Genomic DNA, 20155 nt, shown 5'->3' with positions numbered 1-20155 from the left:
ATTCGGTCACATCTTGAAGTGCCACTTCTAATTCTAGTTTTCCTGCTATTTCTACCACATCTACAGTTACTTCATCCACTGGTTTTGAACTACTCAAAGTCATCCATAATAGAGGGAATTAACTTGTTCCAAATTCCTGTTAATGTTGATATTTTCATGCTACTATAAAGACACATGCACACGTATGTTTATTGCAGCACTGTTCACAATAGCAAAGACTTGGAACCAATCTGAATGTCCATCAATGATAGACTAGATAAAGAAAATGTGGCACATATACACCATAGAATACTATGCAGACATAAAAAAGGATGAGTTCATCTCCTTTGCAGGGATACAGAAGAAGCTAGAAACCATCATTCTGAGCAAACTATCACAAGGACAGAAAACCAAACACTGCATGTTCTCACTCATAGGTGGGAATTGAACAATGAGAACACTTGGACACAGCGGGGGGAACATCACACACCAGGGCCTGTCGTAGGGTAGGGGGCTGGGGAAAGGATAGCATTAGGAGAAATACCTAATGTAAATGACAAGTTAATGGGTGCAGCAAACCAACATGGCACATGTATACCTATGTAACAAACCTGCATGTTGTGCACATGTACCCTAGAACTTAAAGTATAATAAAAAAAAAGTTGATATTTTGACCTTCTCCCATGAATCATGAATATTCTTAATGGCATCTAGAATGGTAAATCCTTTCCAGGTTTTCAATTTAGTTTGCCCAAATCCACCAAAGAAATCACTATCTATGGCAGCTATAGCCTTATGAAATGTATAATAAGGCTTCGAAATTATTCCTTCATCCACGGATGTTGTGTTAACAGGCACAAAAATAACATTTATCTCCATGTACGTCAGAGCTCTTGGGTGACCAGGTGCATTGTCAATGAGCAGTAATATTTTGAAAGGGATCTTTTTTTTCTGAGCAGTATGTCTCAACAGTGGGCTTAAAACATTCAGTAAACCATGCTGTAAATAGATGTGCTGTCATCCAGACTTTGTTTTCCATTTTCAGAGAACAGGCAGAGAAATTTAGCATCATTCTGAAGGGCCCCAGGATTTTCAGAATGGTAAATGAATGCTGGCTTCAACTTAAAGTCACCAGCTGCATTAGCCCCTAATAAGAGAGTCAGCCTGTCCTTTGAAGCCAGGCATTGACCTCTCCACCCTAGTTATAAAAGTCCTAGGTGGCATCTCTTCCAATACCAAGCTGTTTCATCTATACTGAAAATCTGTTGTTTAGCACAGCCTCCTCCTTCATCAATGATTTTAGCTAGATCTTGTGGGTAACTTGCTTCAGCTTCTCCATCAGCAGCTGCTGCTTCATCTTTCACTTTCAGTGTTGTGAAGATGACTTCTTTCCTTAAACCTCATGAACCAACCTCTGCTAGTGTCCAACTTTTCTTAATGCAGTCTCCTCACCTCTCGGCCTTCTCAGAACTGAAGACAATCAGAGCCCTGCTCTGGATTAGGACATGGGAATGTTGTGGCTAGTATGATCCTCTAACCAGAGCGCTCAAAGTTTCTTCCTATCAGTAATAAGGCTGTTTAGACTTCTTATCATTCATGTTTTCAGTGGAGTAGAACTTTTAATTTCCTTCAAGAACTTTTCCTTTGCATTCACAACTTGGCTAACTGGCTCAAGAAGCCTAGCTTTTGGCCTATCTTTGCTTTCAACCTGCCTCCGCTTTCGACATGCTTTCCTCAATAAGCTTAATCATTTCTAGCTTGTGATATAAAGTGAGAGAGATGTGACTCTTCCTTTCACTGGAACACTTACAGGCCACTGTAGGATTATTAATTGGTCTAAATTAAACATTGTGTCTCATGCAATAGGGAGGCCTGAGGAGAGGAATAGAGATGGGGAGTAGGGGGTACGGCATAGCTAGTTGGTGGGGCAGTCAGACAGACACAATATTTATCAATTAAGTTTACCATCATACATGGGCATGGTTCACGGCACCCCAAAACAATCACAATAGTAACATCAAAGATCATTGACACAGATTACCAAAGTAGATATAATAATAATGTCTGAAATGTTGCAAGAATTACCATAATGTGACACAGATACACAAAGTAAGCACAAGGTGTTGGAAAAATGGCACTGAAAGACTTGCTCAACTTAGGGTTGCCATAAACCTTCAATTTGTAAAAAATACAGTATTTGTGAAGCTCAATAAAGTAAAGCACAATAAAATGAAGTTTGCCTATAATTACGTATGCTTAGCATTGTAGCCTAGAAGGGAGCCAAAAATCAATACAACAAATGAAATAAAGAACAAGGGCTAGCAAATTACCTTAGGGCTAGAAAATAAAGCAAGAATTCAACATGTGAGTGAATATTATCATAGAAGATTAGAGATGTGGAACTAGACATTAAATGCTTTTTTTCTTTAAAGACAAGTAAACACGCAGTATCTCACAGAGTTGTTCTATAAAAAATAAACAATTACGTGACTCTCGTATGAAATGGGAATTGCCATCAAGCAAGAAACTAAGTTAAATACAAAAAAAAAAAAAAGAGAACGAGGCAGGGGAAGACAGCTTACTTCTTCAGGGAGAGAGTTTAAAGCTGTATGGCACACTTTATGGTCCCCCCGGCAACACAAAATGGTCTTCATCCTCAAAATGGAATAAAATGGATAGAATTTTTATTACAAATAGAATGTTAATTTTTCTTGCCTTTGGGACTTTAATTTAAACTAATAGTTTCTCTTGCAAGGTGATTTAGATGCCACATTCTCCAAAGACAATTCCTGTCTTAATGTTTGGGGATGAAAATAGGTGGCCTATTGTTTTACATTTCCAAATAACCATAAAATAGAGTAACCATACTACAATCAAATAAGCATTTACTGAGAATCTTCTAACTATAATCTGAATCAAAAGAGACCAAAATAAACAGAAGCTGATTTCTTGGCTGGTAGCCTTCACACATTTACTAAAAACATTTTAAAACTGAGATCTGATGTATTTATATGAGTGAATGAATGACTTTATATTAATTTAGATCATAGATTTACACAAAATGCTTGCTTAAACAAAATGTTTTCATAAAATCTAGTAAGTATTCAAATCTTCTTGTCTCTTAAGATAGACACATATAGTATAAACGTTACAGAGAGAAATACTGCCAATGGTAAAAAAAGAAAACCACTCTAAAGCCATACATCAAAGTAAAAATTCTAATTTCAGATTACAGTCATTTGTAATATGCAATTCAAATGCACTAAATCACACAGTGTAAAAATTTCAAAAGCATTATTTTGTTCCTTTCAGAGATAACCTTTCCAGTAACAGGGTAATAGACTGTAAAATAAAATTTTGTTTATATTTCCATTACATACATTACCATCTTATATTTGTACAGAATGGAGAAATCTTTCTTTCCTGATCAGGTGCAATTATGGTACAGTTGTTATTTTTAGTTAAAACACCTGACACTAAGGAAGAATTATGAAACGAGAAGCTCTCTGTGTTTTTGTTGTTGTTGTTGTTGTTGTTGTTGTTTAAAAAGCAAGTACAGATTCTTCTAAGTTAAATGTTTTATAATTTTACATTTAGGAGGACAGAAGTAGCAATGGCTCAATCACCTTATTCAAGGAAGAACTGTAGAAAATTAACATCTCACTAATATATTTTACTTTTTCTTGTTAAAAAGGCATATGCTGACTTTATAAAGTGTATCAATAAATGCCTATAAAATACATATATCACTTTATAGTTCAAGAAAAACAGGCTTATCCACTTTAATAAAAATTTAGAGCTATTTTTATTAAAGAAAAAACAAAAATTTAAAACACAATGTTAAAACCTAGCTTCTTGGAATGATTTCACATTACATGAACTCAGCAAAAAGCTTCACTTTATTCAGATTACAATTTTTTATTTTGTAAATCAAGAGTTCAAATCCAAACTCTGGCTTCTTCCAGAGCAAGGCAAATAAGCTTATTAATCTGTTACCTCATCCTTTAAATGGTGATAATAATACCTACCTCATGGGACTATAGGAAAGATTAGATAGTGGCTATAATCCCCAGCCCAGTGCTAAACATACAGTAAGTGATCCAATGACAGGTGTCAAAGACTGAACATCTGCATGAACTCCTTTTTCCAATTCTTCTTTGTCAGTAGTCTTAGGCTTGAGGGCATTTATAAATTTTGTTTCAGATTGTTAACAAGACATTCCTTTTGTTCCCTTCCTGGGGCATCATTAGTTAAATTGGTGAGAGTTTATTGTTTTAATACCTTGTGGTTACGTGGCCTTAACATTTTGTGATACACAATTTCACAAGACCATTTTCAACAAAAGGTACAGTGAATAAGTCCGCAATGGGCTTATTCTAATGTAAGCTAATTTAATCTAATAATTATGAACTTCTCAGTGTTTCTTAAATCTGTTCTTTTAAAAGCTATACACTTTTTACTCCCTTTTTTCTTCATTTCCCTTCAACTTCATCTCTTTGTCTTCCAGTCTTCCTAGGAGACAAATGGGCAACCTCTACAGATGACCAAGAATATGACCCTTCATGTCCTTCAGTATCTAAAGCAAATGGTCTATTTAAAAGTTTACTGTCTAACAGAGAAAAAAAGTGTTGCTGAAAACAGACGAAGGTTATAATAAAACAACTGTTCAAAAAAATATACCTGAGATACTCAATTTACTTAGGTTAATTATGTTACTGTGTAAAGCTGCCTATACAGGCACATGTAAAAAAAAATCAGGTCATCGTGTGGTTCTTCCTAGTTTCTAGACCAGTGCTATCCATAAGAATTTTCTGTGATCATGGGAATATTTTATATCTGTGATCCCCAAGAGAGTGGTCATCTGCCAAATATAACTACTGAGAAGTGAGACTAAGGAACTTCCTTTTACATTTTATTTACTTGTATTAAATTTAAATAGCCACATGTGTCCACTAAAATGGATAGCAGGCTTAGACGTTCTCCTTTCCTGTCCTTTTTCTTTACCATTTTGAGCCTTATCTGGATGCTCTTATTGAACTCCTTGTTTCAAATCTCTTCCTGTTATCTCTATGATTAAACAGCATGACAGTTGTAATCTAAAATAATTACTGAAAAATAATTTTAAAAGCTAGCTCTAAAATGTGCTTTTTTGATGAAAAGTACTGCAATCAATTATTTTAGATTTTTCTAATCAAGGTTTACTAAAAAATAAAAAAAACATATATCAATAAGTGTTGAAACCTTACAATTAAAACCTTAACAATATATACGTTCCCCTCCATTCTTTGTCAGCTACATAATTAGTTTCAGGATAGGACAAGAGCATAATTAAAAACAAGTACAGAAAAAACCACAGCACAACCAAGCAGAATTAAGATAACAAATGAAAATCACTCTATACTGATCTATTAATGGTGATAATACAGAAATTAGTGACTAGAAATAGGATAAATAAAATGCAACACAATGGTCAATGAAGAACTGTGCAGTTTCTATCTCTAGCATTATTTATCACATCAAAGATAAAATCCTACCCCAATTTCAAAAGATTTTTGATGACTTCTAATGGTTCCTTCCAAATTTATCTATGCATACATATTATTTTAAGGTACAATTATTTTAAAATATGATAAGATTCCAAAAAAATGTTAAGTGTTTTAAGCTCCCCCTCTGTTTCTCCTCTCTCTCCCTCCCCACTCTCCCCACATATAAAACAATCTATTTTTAAAGCACAGATGTAGGTGCTAAGAAAAACAACTACGATGCTTGACTGTTAGAAATGAAACAATGGCCTCTCTCTGGGACTGGTATTAATGTCATCACCACCCATCAATTCCTCCTTTCTTTGCCTATCAGCTTGGCTTTGAGGATCTTGCGGGGGCGTGGAGGGAAGTAGGAGGGTAGAACATGTAAAACAATCTCAGTATTCAGGGATATGATTCAAAAGAATTCAAGTTATATGAATACAAAGTTATGTGCTTAACTACATACCAGTTTCTGAATGACTACTGATTTGATTTTCTTCTTTGGAATTTGAGTAAACATAATGAAACTTACTATTTTGAGCCAGGGCTTGAAGCAGACAATCCAAGCATCCTTCTAAACTATCCTCAGTCTTGTCAACAGCTGTTATCTTCAGCTTCTTCAAGGTATCACTGAGATTATCTGCTTAAAGAAAAAAAAAAATCAGAAACTCAACCTTATGACCACCATATGTTACATGACAAAAGGATAAACAGTTACCACTAAACTGGAGAGCTTCCTATAATAGCAAATTAACCTCCACGTACATTCCAAAATGGCATTAGACTGTACTATTAAAAAAATTTTAAATGCACTTTGTTCACTTAACTCAGATATGAAATATTCATTCTGCTATGTGTAAGATACCAGGAATATTCCAAATATTATCAAAGAACATCTTTTTTCCATATTCTTATAACTTATTGAGCTTGTTCAGGAAAGCATCTATGGCTTAGAAAAATTAAATGTTCATAAAAAATTATATAGTTTTACAAACATTTTATTTCATTGTTCACTTCCTCTGTTGTACATTAAAGACATAAAAAATGAAGGTTTAGAAAAATTTCAAAATAATATGATTCCAAATAATACAAAGTGTGATAACTACAAAACTTACACTGTCATTTCAAAAATACTTCACATCAAAGTACTGCTTTAAGCCCTAACATGCATATTTTGGATTATAAAGCTATGCTTTCTTCCTAAATTATATGTGAATTCCTCTAGATCACAGATTCTCAAAACCTCTTTACACTATTAAAAGTTATTGAGAATCCCAAAGAGCTTTTGTTTATATTATTGCTATAGACATTTAACATACTACAAAATCAAAACTGAGACTTTTTAAAATTATTTAGTAATTTACTTAAATGTAACAATTATAAACCTACTGCACATTAACATAATTAGCATTTTAATGAAAAAAATTATTTCCTAACAAAAAAATTTAGCAAGAAGAATAGCATTGTTTTTTTTTTTTCTTTTATTATACTTTAAGTTCTGGCTTACATCTGCAGAACATACAGTTTTGTTACATAAACATGTGCCATGGTGGTTTGCTGCACCCATCAACCTATCACTTACATAAGGCATTGTTTTACATTTTTAGAAATTTCATCCAGGCCCGGTGGCTCATGCCTGTAATCCCATCACTTTGGGAGGCCAAGGTGGAAGGATCACTTGAGGCTAGGAGTTTGATACCGGCCCGGGCAACAAAGTGAGTCCTCTTCTCTAAGAAAAATAAAAATAAAAAAATTAACTGCATATGGTGGCATGTGCCTGTATTCCCAGCTACTCAGGAGGCTGCAGTGGGAGGATCACTTAAGCCTGAGGAGTTTGAGTCTACAGGGAGCTAGGATTGCTCCACTGCACTCTAACCTGGGTGGCAGAGCAAGACCCTATCTCTTAAAAAAAAAAAAGGAAAAAAAAAAAATCTCCATAATGTGGTTCAACAGAAGATGACTGGACTCTCGTATCTTCTTCTGTATTCAATCTTGGTTAATATGCTGTTTTGGTTTGAATAGATGAAGAAAATTTAGTCTCAATATATACGTAGTTGGAAAACACGTGAGTATTTTAACAGCCTTTTCAGATAATTGCGGATATTCACTGATATACTAAAACTGGACACCTGGCAGTTCCTTAAAGGTTAGTTGCCCTGCTAAGCCGAAACAATATGAAAGCTTCCATTTTCCAGAAGAGGAAAGATTTATCTGATTTATCTGATTAAGGCTGAGGACTACTGGACATGTATGGCTCAACCCCTTCTGCATTCCTGTTATTTTAGAAACAACAAGAATTTTCTGTTCTACACCTGTGGCTGTCCAGGTGTACAGTGACAAAATGAGTAAATATGTATAATTCAGCAGTAAATTACTAGTAATCCCATTGTGACTCTACAAATAGAGGCCTTAACTCTAGACTTTATTAATTTTAAAGCAGATATTTTAAATTCTAGCAGACGACTCATATGCTTATATCTCCAGTGGTTCTAAGCTTGGGTAAGAAACAGAGGATATTATTTTTGTACTCCTTCAAACCATGACAGTAAATTTCAGTAGTAAATCCTTAGCATCCAAATTACTTTTTGTGTAATTCCAGAGAGCTGTATTTTACATTTCCTTAAAAGCACTGAAATTGTTCTAATGAAAATTTGTCAGCCTCTGGCTGGTAATGAGGCAGTAAGTAGAGATAGAAATGGAGAAGTATTAACAAATAAAATAAAATTTTTTCTTAAAACAATTTCTTTCCTATATATCAACATATGGTCTAGTTCGTCTTGTGAAATATGTGACATCTTCAAAGGGTTAAAGCAAAGTTGACTTGGTCATTAAAATTCTGAGTCTCCCACTTCTTACCCACTCAATCGCTCCTTAAAACCTGATCTAACCAAGTCCTCTAAAAGCCTATCAAAATTACTCTGTCAAAGGTTTTAAATGATATCTTGACAAAGCCAATGAATTTTTCTCAATCCTCTTGTTTGATATCTCTGTAGCAATAGACAGTTTTTCCATTTCTGAAACACCTCTTAACTTAGAAACATCAGTCTAAACACTTGTTTTTGGTCTTCTTCAATAGATCTTCCTTCTCTATCTGCCCCTTTAATATTAGTGTGACCCCAGTTGTGCACAGAGCCTCTTCTCTTCCTGAATAATATATGCATGCCCTTCAGAATATTAGGATGGTATGCTCTTTCCTTCTGTCCTCCCTTCTTTTATTCAGCTGGACAGACCACTTGCTTTATGTCCCTATCAATATAAAGAATTACCACATTTTAGGCCTTGATACATTTGGATAAAACCTGATGCAACTTCTGGTAACCGTGAACAGCTAACTATCATTCCTCGCATTTCTCAAAAGTCTCTGTTAAAGACAAACAGCTATACTTTCCCACTAAAACCTTCAAACTTTGCCAAGCCTTTTTTTTCTTTTATCTTAGGCACCAGAGGCTCTTTATGCTCCAACCTCTCTTCTATAAACCAGAAACAAATTATTTACTGGTCTGTAAGTACTTGCTGCAATGGAAGAGTTTTCATAAGACCTAAATTTTTAGCTATCAGTTCCTTTCTTAACATCAATCTAAGAAAAACTAATGAGGAAAGTGATGCTGTTTTAATATTTAAATAATTTGACCATAAAAGTACTTAAGATCATCACCAACAACAAAGAATACACTTGACTGTGAAGAAAGGACTGTCCCAAAGAACAAATCTCAAGACAGTGTCATGTTAAACTAGGAAGTCATGAAATTCTTTATGTTATTTGTGGTGGCATTTTTCAGTTTATCTTCCTCACAATATTATTCAGAAATGGTAGCTTTATTTTCAAGGTTATTGGATCTAAAACTTCATACTTTTAAATGTTAATCAATTCTATCACTTTACTATATGCCAGTAAGTAGATACATGGGTATATAGATAGATATGTGTTTGTTATCTTTGGACAATTATACCATTGCTGATGATAAAACCGACAGGAGACAAGTACACAAGAACTGCTAACTGAGCTTGTAAAAGTTCAAGACATTTTTACCTCACTTCAAATGTCACTCAATTTTTTTCTGTATCTATTATTTTCACATAACTATCTAGTAACAAAGCTTTACTTTGAAAGCATCACTATCCACATCAAATCCAAAAAAAAAAATATTTCTGTGCTAATGTGGTTTTCAAGTACCTAGAATACAGCCAATGCATGAATGGAAGAATTTCAAGTTTATCTCAAAATGAATGGCATTAAGTCAATTTGGGGCACCTGGCTTAGCAGCTGGAAATAATAGCAATCTCTCTTGAATATTATGTTTTACTTATCTAAAGGGTTTAGTATCTGACAGAATGAAGCTATTTTTAAAAGCTTCTCTAATGAAGTAGGAATAGTAGTTTCTGTTAGCATGTCAAGTGGAAAGGACTGTGTTTAAAAATTATAATATTTTCAGTTTTACTATGTTGTATTTTCAGTTTCCTACTTTTCTTTCTTTTTTTTTTTTTTTTTTTTTGTTTACCAGAGCTGGTCCTAAACCGATCAGAAACTTTTACAACTCACATTATGCCATCTCCCATTACTTTCTCACACAACATCATGTGTGTCAGTCCCACCACATTATTGGCTTTTTCCCAAGCACACTTTCATTTTCACAATTGTGAGAATTAAATTCTTTTCTAAAATTCCTTTCTGTGCATTTTCCACATCTAGCATGGCTACTTACTTGGCGAAGTCAACTAATATGCCAAGTCTTGCATGAAGCTTTCTGTATTCCTGCAGTCAGAGGAACCTTCCTTTTCTAGGCTCCCACATTTTGTTTATACCTTGATAAACATGAAAGTTTCTATTTTTATATAGATTCTTTAATGTTAAATTTATTCCAAAAGATTTTAGAATTTTGTGATTGCTGAGAATTAAATAAGTTGTCCCATTTTCATGGGTAGGTGACATATCTACAGTAAAAAAAGGGCTACCTTGTATAATTATCACATATTCAGTCACCATTCAAATTATCTTACTTCTTAGCAAGCTAAAAAAGTTTAAGCACAAAAATCATGCCTCTTGATCTTGGAACATATCCCTGTGGATAAAGGGGGACTACTGTATTATAATCAAATTCTCCAGTTATTCCCCATTTCACTGACTTCTAATGATATGAAAAAAAATCATGCTTCTCTTCACTGCTGCTGCGGCTACAGATGCTTGCTGTTAAGATATAAACAGACACTTCTCAAAAGAAGACATTTATGCAGCCAACAGACACATGAAAAAATGCTCATCATCACTAGGCCTTAAGAGAAATGCAAATCAAAACCACAATGAGATACCATCTCACACCAGTTAGAATGGCGATCATTAAAAAGTCAGGAAACAACAGGTGCTCGAGAGGATGTGAAGAAACAGGAACACTTTTACACTGTTGGTGGGACGGTAAACCAGTTCAACCATTGTGGAAGTCAGTGTGGTGATTCCTCAGGGATCTAGAACTAGAAATACCACTTGACCCAGCAATCCCATTACTGGGTATATACCCAAAGGATTATAAATCATGCTGCTATAAAGACACATGCACACGTATGTTTACTGCGGCACTATTCACAATAGCAAAGACTTGGAACCAACCCAAATGTCCAACAATGATAGACGGGATTAAGAAAATGTGGCACATATACACCATGGAATACTATGCAGCCATAAAAAACGATGAGTTCATGTCCTTTGTAGGAACATGGATGAAGCTGGAAACCATCATTCTCAGCAAACTATGGCAAGGACAAAAAACCAAACACCGCATGTTCTCACTCATAGGTGGGAACTGAACACTGAGAACACATGGACACAGGAAGGGGAACATCACACACTGGGGCCTGTTGTGGGATGGGGGTAGCGGGGAGGGATAGCATTAGGAGATATACCTATTGTTAAATGACGAGTTAATGGGTACAGCACACCAACATGGCACATGTATACATATGTAACAAACCTGCATGTTGTGCACATGTACCCTAAAACTTATAGTAAAAAAAAGAAAAACAAATAAGAAAACTGAGAGCTTAGAAAAAGTATTTAAAGTTTAATCATTTATCACTACCTTCATAATTATTACTTGGTCCCAATAAAATTGAAAATTAAAAAGAATATGAAACTAATGTGAATGTGCTACTTTGATAAATTAGTTTCCACGATGAAGTTCCACAGATGCAAGATCTAACAGGAATGTACCTAAATACTAAATATGTTTTGTGAACATACATTATGTACACATGATCTGAAAAAAAAAATATCTGAGCAAAAAAGTAACTGTTCAGGTGCATGTGTGCAATATTTCAAAGGCAATTCATGCAGTACTTGGATAATTAGAAATATTTCTAATATTTGAAGAGAAACAAAAGAGCTAAAAACTATTCTATTTAATGAAAACTCCAAACTATATTTCATAAATGTTACACACCTAACTTCTACCTTAATCCATGAATTTATTACTTTAACATGTAGTCATACCTATTCATATACATGGTCTTTGCTCCCAGTATGACTCTCCAGGTTGCAATGACATTGTAACTCTGTGCCTATTCACCACTTACACACACATCTATCCACTAGATACACCTCTTTTGTTCCAGGTTAATTATAATTCATTACAAGATTTCATAAAATATAAGGGCTTATATGAATGTAATCAACCTGTCCTATGTGTGAGTCAAGCAGTTTGAACTCTACACCAAGTGGTTAAATCCCAAAATTAAACTTCATCAATAAGTTTGTAATCTATTTATGAGATTATTTTTGTAGAATTTTATACAGTTTTATTTTTTCTGTATTTTTCATTTTGTTAGTTTTATAGTTCTAGGTACATAGAACCCTACTTGTATAGTTCTACTATTAGATTGAAAATTCCTCTAGGACAGGAAATTATGCTAGGATACTCATACTACTCACTATAGTGAAAATTTAGTAAATCCTGAAAACCTACATTACTTTTGAGTTACTTGCACTGGCATGTTTTTTTAGAAATTATGACACAAACTGTCTTGATTAAGAAATATTTTTATTAAAATGGGCTATACTAAAAACAATGACTTTATTTCACTCTAAGTCATCTTCTCTATTTTAGAAATGTGATAAAAATTTTCTAAGCAGTAATTTTTCATTCATTCTTTTTTTTTTTTTTTTTTTTTTTTAAGACGGAGTTTCACTCTCGTTGCCCAGGCTGAAGTGCAATGACGTGATCTTGGCTCACTACAACCTCCACCTCCTGGTTTCAAGGGATTCTCCTGCCTCAGCCTCCCAAACAGCTGGGATTACAGGCACCTGCCACCACGCCCAGCTAATTTTTTGTATTTTTAGTAGACACGGGGTTTCACCATGTTGACCAGGCTGGTCTTGAACTCCTGACCTCAGGTGATCTGCCCACCTAGGCCTCCCAAAGTGCTAGGATTATAGGCGTTAGCCACCGCGCCTGGCCTCATTCATTCTTAAATGGAATTAAAACTCTATTTTAGTCTGAAATAGAAACACTCTAGTCTTACTTGTCATGTTTGATGAGAGGGTGAAGAATCTGACAGATGATCTTCACAACTACAATATTAAACTATAATAAATAAGAGCAAAATACAATTTGTAAAATTTTATTTCACACAATGCCTAAAGACCTATTCTCATAAAGTTCAAGAATTATGTCTGTGTATATGTGATTAGGCTCTACACAGAGAGAGCCTAATCACATACATTGTGTCTGGATGCGACAGGCCTACAATACTTTGGCTCCTGGCACTCACGGCAATAATTTTTTTTTTTTTTTTTGAGACAGGGTCTCACTCTGTAACCCAGGCTGGAGTGCAGTGGCACAATAATGGCTCACTGCAACCTTAACTTCCTGGGCTTAGGCAATCCTCCCACCTCAGCAAGCTGAATATATGGGGCCACAGGTGCTGACTACAACGCCCAGCTAATTTTATTTTTTTGGACAGACAGAGTCTTTCTATGTTGCCCAGGCTGGTCTCGACCTCCTGAGCTCAAGCCATCCTCCTGCCTCAGCTTCGCAACATGCTAGAATTATAGGCATGAGCCCACCGTGCCCAGCCATGGCAATAATCTTAATAAAATGTGCCCATTATTATAATAAATATGAATATATTTATAAATAAATATTATAAATAATTTATAATGTTTATTTACAATTATTTATTATTTATAATTTAAATTTATTATTTATTTAAATTATTTATAATTTATTTATAATTATTTATTATAAATATTAATATATTAATAAAAAGTGCCCATTATTATAATTATTATATTATTTTAGGAAATCATAATATGTACTACATAACAGAAATCCCTTGATAATTTTATGACAGTTATAATTTTATTCAATGGTGATCAACCTAGAAAATCCACTGTCTTCTAAGAAGTGACAGGAAAGATGACTCAAACAACTGCCAAATATACTAGTGATGATGCTAATATTTTACATTAACATTAAAATTAGTATCAGGGATAACAATTTTCAGTTGGAGAGATCAGTACAGATATTCCTTTGTTCCTACAAGGTTTTATTAGGCTCCTGTGTTAATAAAAATACTAAACTTTTGTGGAAACTATTCTTAATAATTTAAAAGTACTAATTGACATTTTTCATTAGCCAAACTGGTAAAATTTATCATAAAGCTATGTTAAAACCCACAGCACTCTTTAAGCATATACATTTCTTTCCTGGCTGCTAGAACAGTCAATTAATATCTCTTCAAGACAATTAATGTCAGAATAAAGAACAAGTAAAGAAACCAAATTTCTCTAGGCAAATGTCTTTTTAGGCTATCTTCATTTGAAATGAAAGAAAAACTCAGTTAACATTTATTCAGCAGGTAGTTCCTACTTTGATGAATTTCAATAGCAATCTATTGCTCACTGAGGAAATGTATCTTTTCAGTGTTTTATATAAAAACGTTTTTATATAACAAACCACCCCAAATTTACTGGCATAAAACAAAAGCCATTTTATTACGCTCATAGATTCTATGAATCGGGAATCACAAAGGGCACATTCAAGATGGCTGGTCTCTACTTCACAAAATCTACAGCCTTGATGCAGAGTCTCAAAGGCTAGGGGTGACTGGGAGTGACTCAGTGGCTGAAGCTGGCATGATCTAAATCATCTAACAGTTCATTCACTCACATGGCTGGTGACTGGCATGAAAGGACTCAAAGACTAGGATTTCTGACCTGAAATCTGATACCTGAGACTTGGGACCTTTCTACAAGGCTTAGCTTCCTGACACAGCAACCTCCAGGTACTCGGATTTCTCAGGGCTCCAAGCAGGCTGGTATTCCAACAATCAGAGCGGAAGCAGCATTGCCTTTTATGACCTAAGCTAGGAAAGTCACATGGCATCCCTTCTGCTGCATTCTAATGGTTACATAAGTGTGCTCAGATTCAATAGGAGAATTAGACCCCAACTCTTAATGAGTGGTAGGAAGTTCTAAAAAAATATGTGGGGCAAGAGACATTGTTGTGATTATCTTCTAAAAATATAATCAGCTACCATAACTTAATATTCACCACATGGTTTGGTTAAAATAGTACAATAAACAGCATTATAGTCTTTGATTGGTTTTAGCTCTGAATACAAGATAAAGTTTTCTAAAAACGATTATATTTTTAGCTTTGGAAATGGAAATTTAAAATTACTTGGGGTTGAAAAACTACTGTGTACTATTTAATATGTTCAGTACCTGGGTGATGGGATCATTTGTACCCTAAACCTCAGCATCATGCAATTTATCCAGGTAACAAACTGCATTACGTGCCCCCTGAATCTAAAATAAAAGGGGAAAAAACCCTACAGATAACATTATTTTTAAAAATTATATGGATATCACTTTATGTACTATTTCCAACTCCCTTGTGAAATAGATATTATTATCTGACTGTAATAGATGAGAAAGCTAATTCAGAAGCTGAATAACTTGCCCAGAATAAGTGCCAAAGTTGGGTAAATCCAGATATACGTGTGTCTGCAAGTACAGGCTCTTCCTTCTGTATAGGTAGCTGAACTTTGCTCAGTTACATGAAAGTTACACAGATATTGTGCTAATCAGAACTGTGCAAAGGACTGTCTGTACCTTCCTTTATATAGATGTAAGCTCTTCCAAAATGAATTTATAATCCAAACACGTTAGCTAGTTGTACTAGGTAACAACTGTCTATGTATCTGAATTAGTGACTAACAAAAAAAAAAAAAAAAAAATCACAATGAAATGTACCAGGAAGCAGTCTGCCACAGTATCTCAAGGGTAGTACAATGCTGAATACACACTTTAGCTTTCAATAAGTGTTTAACTGAATAAATAATAAATTCTAGAAAAAGTTCCAGATCATTTTAAGTAATGAACACTTATATATGTCCAAGAAGCTGTATTAGGGGCTGAAAAAGTAAATATAATCTGTCCTCTTAATTAAATTCTTAGGGGTCTGTGTTTTCTCTTGACAATCTAAATTATGTCCTTTTTTATCGCTCATTTTCTATTATTCTTTATCTACTAGAGTTTAAGCATTTCAAAACTAGAAATATGACTACTTGCACTACTTATACTTTGTCACTGTTTATAATGCCTAATATGGTAGTCTTGTGTTGCTCATTTGACTGATGGTGCTTTGTATGCAACACATAAAAGCCAGAAATATGACACACTGGACAGTTTTTATTAGAGCTTACCACCACATCACCATCCCCAGAAATGCATTTCTGCAACTAAAGGAAAATCATCAGCTCATACTATTTTTTCTTTGCTCTAACTGTATTTTGGAGACCAAATGTAGCTTATAATATTAAAAACAAATCAACATTTTTATTTCTCTGAAACACAACTACATCAATGTAAGTTTTGCATTTTGTAATGATCAGTTTCATCTTTCATGAAGTTACTTGAAGAATCTTCAATTTTCAGAAAAGTTAAAAAATTGTTTTTAAAATCTGATGAATTTCTTGTCAAAAAAACTTTGATGGTATGTGTTTCTCACCGTTTTAAAGGCAATTTTTTTTTAACGTTCAATTCCTAGAACAAAAATCATAACAAACTGTCTCTCAGACCACAGTGCAATCAAATTAGAACTCAGGATTAAGAAACTCACTCAAAACCACACAACTACATGGAAACTGAACAACCCGCTCCTGAATGACTACTAGGTAAATAACAAAGTGACGGCAGAAATAAAGATGTTCTTTGAAACCAATGAGAACAAATACACAACACACCAGAATCTCTGGGACACATTTAAAGCAGTGTGTAGAGGGAAATGTATAGCACTAAATGCCCACAAGGGAAAGCAGGAAAGATCTAAAATAGACATTCTAACATCACAATTAAAAGAACTAGAGAAGCAAGAGCAAACAAATTCAAAAGCTAGCAGAAGGCAAGAGATAACTAAGATCAGAGCAGAACCGAAGGAGATAGAGACATAAAAAACCCTTCAAAAAAAAAAAAAAAATCAATGAATCCAGGAGCTGGTTTTTTGAAAAGATCAACAAAATTGATAGACCGCTAGCAAGACTAATAAAGAAGAAAAGAGAGCAGAATCAAATAGACACATTAAAAAATGATAAAGAGGATATCACCACCGATCCCACAGAAATATAAACTACCATCAGAGAATACTATAAACACCTCTACGCAAATAAACTAGAAAATCTAGAAGAAATGGATAAATTCCTGGACACATACACCCTCCCAAGACTAAACAAGGAAGGAGCTGAATCTCTGAATAGACCAATAACAGGTTCTGAAATTGAGGCAATAATTAATAGCCTACCAACCAAAAAAAGTCCAGGGACAGACGGATTCACAGCCGAATTCTACCAGAGGTACAAAGAGGAGCTGGTACCATTCCTTCTGAAACTATTCCAATCAATAGAAAAAGAGGGAATCCTCCCTAACTCATTTTATGAGGCCAGCATCATCCTGATACCAAAGCCTGACAGAGACACAACAAAAAAAGAGAATTTTAGACTAATATCCCTGATGAACATCGATGCAAACATCTTCAATAAAATACTGGCAAACCGAATCCAGCAGCACATCAAAAAGCTTACCTACCACGATCAACTTGGCTTCATCCCTGGGATGCAAGGCTGGTTCAACACACGCAAATCAATAAATGTAATTCATCACATAAACAGAACCAATGACAAAAACCACATGATTAATTCAATAGATGCAGAAAAGGCCATTGACAAAATTCAACAGCCCTTCATGCTAAAAACTCTCAATAAACTAGGTATTGATGGAAAGTATCTCAAAATAATAAGAGCTATTTATGACAAAGCCACGGCCAATATCATACTGAATGGGCAAAAACTGGAAGCATTCCCTTTCAAAAATGGCAGAAGACAGGGATGCCCTCTCTCACCACTCCTATTCAGCATAGTGTTGGAAGTTCTCGCCAGGGCAGTCAGGCAAGAGAAAGAAATAAAGGGTATTCAATTAGGAAAAGAGGAAGTCAAATTGTCCCTGTTTGCAGATGACATGATTGTATATTTAGAAAACCCCATCATCTCAGCCCAAAATCTCCTTAAGCTGGTAAGCAACTTCAGCAAAGTCTCAGGATACAAAATCAATGTGCAAAAATCACAAGCATTCCTATACACCAATAACAGACAAACAGCCAAATCATGAGTGAACTCCCATTCACAATTGCTTCAAAGAGAATAAAATACCTAGGAATCCAACTTACAAGGGATGTGAACGACCTCTTCAAGGAGAACTACAAACCGCTGCTCAACAAAATAAAAGAGGACACAAAAAAATGGAAGAACATTCTATGCTCATGGATAGGACAAATCAATATCATGAAAATGGCCATACTGCCCAAAGTAATTTATAGATTCAATGCCATCCCCCCATCAAGCTACCAATGACTTTCTTCACAGAATTGGAAAAAACTACTTTCAAGTTCATATAAAACCAAAAAAGAGCCCACATTGCCAAGACAATCCTATGCAAAAAGAACAAAGCTGGAGGCATCATGCTACCTGACTTCAAACTATACTACAAGGCTACAGTAACCAAAACAGCATGGTACTGGTACCAAAACAGAGATATAGACCAATGGAACAGAACAGAGGCCTCAGAAATAACACCACACATCTACAACCATCTGATCTTTGACAAACCTCAGAAAAACAAGAAATGGGGAAAGGATTCCCTATTTAATAAACGGTGCTGGGAAAACTGGCTAGCCATATGTAGAAAGCTGAAACTGGATCCCTTCCTTACACCTTATACAAAAATTAATTCAAGATGGATTAAAGACTTAAATGTTAGACCTAAAACCATAAAAACTCTAGAAGAAAACCGAGACAATACCATTCAGGACATAGGCATGGGCAAGGACTTCATGACTAAAACACCAAAAGCAATGGCAACAAAAGCCAAAATTGACAAATGGGATCTAATTAAACTAAAGAGCTTCAGCAAAGCAAAAGAAACTACCATCAGAGTGAACAGGCAACCTACAGAATGGGAGAAAATTTTTGCAATCTACCCATCTGACAAAGGGCTAATATCCAGAATCTACAAAGAACTTAAACAAATTTACAAGAAAAAAACAAACAACCCCATCAAAAAGTGGGCAAAGGATATGAACAGACACTTCTCAAAAGAAGACATTTATGCAGCCAACAGACACATGAAAAAATGCTCATCATCACTAGTCATCAGAGAAACGCAAATCAATGCCACAATGAGATACCATCTCACACCAGTTAGAATGGCGATCATTAAAAAGTCAGGAAATAACAGATGCTGGAGAGGATGTGGAGAAATAAGAATGCTTTTACACTGTTGGTGGGACTGTAAACTAGTTCAACCATTGTGGAAAACAGTGTGGCGATTCCTCAAGGATCTAGAACTAGAAATATCATTTGACCCAGCAATCCCATTACTGGGTATATACCCAAAGGACTATAAATTATGCTACTATAAAGACACATGCACATGTATGTTTATTGCGGCACTATTCACAATAGCAAAGACTGGGAACGAACCCAAATGTCCACCAATGATAGACTAGATTAAGAAAATGTGGCACATATACACCATGGATTACTATGCAGCCATAAAAGAGGATGAGTTCATGCCCTTTGCAGGGATATGGATGAAGCTGGAAACCATCATTCTGAGCAAACTATCACAAGGACAGAAAACCAAACACCGCAAGTTCTCACTCATAGGTGGGAACTGAACAATGAGAACACTTGGACACAGGGCAGGGAACATCACACACGGGGGCCTGTCATGGGGTGGGGACAGGGGAAGGGATAGCATTAGGAGAAATACCTAATGTAAATGATGAGTTGATGGGTACAGCAAACCAACATGGCACATATATACTTATGTAACAAACCTGTACGTTGTGCACATGTACCCCAGGACTTAAAGTACAGAACTTAAAGTTCAGAAAATATTTTATAATGTCAAAAATATAAATTATGCAATATATGTATACATGTAAGTATATATAAATAATTTGCATCTCAAAAAAAATTATTCTGGGTCACAAAAAAAAAGTTCAATTCCTGTTTTTTTCCATATGAAAAAAAAATTCCAACAATCATTTACTAGTTATCTGAAATTATATACTTTTTTATATCATTTAAAAATTTTTTAAATG

General features: G+C 34.8%; 1 protein-coding gene across 10 annotated transcripts in view; it reads right to left on the bottom strand.

Moving 5' to 3' along the window:
• RAP1GDS1 (Rap1 GTPase-GDP dissociation stimulator 1) overlaps nt 1-20155 on the bottom strand; it is a 182475-nt gene that overhangs the window by 144307 nt on the left and 18013 nt on the right. For 5 of the 10 annotated variants that reach the window (NM_001100426.2, NM_021159.5, NM_001100428.2 and 2 more), the window contains exon 2: nt 6037-6147. In NM_001100426.2, the coding sequence (NP_001093896.1) occupies nt 6037-6147 (111 nt within the window). Of the gene's footprint in view, nt 1-2561; nt 2635-6036; nt 6148-20155 lie in introns of those variants that run through there. The other 5 variants (NM_001100427.2, XM_024454164.2, NM_001100429.2 and 2 more) reach the window with 2 other exon arrangements.

The sequence above is a fragment of the Homo sapiens genome, chromosome 4 (genome assembly GCF_000001405.40).
Source record: "Homo sapiens chromosome 4, GRCh38.p14 Primary Assembly".
NCBI lineage: Eukaryota > Metazoa > Chordata > Mammalia > Primates > Hominidae > Homo > Homo sapiens.
This window is presented reverse-complemented; position numbering and strand designations above follow the sequence as displayed.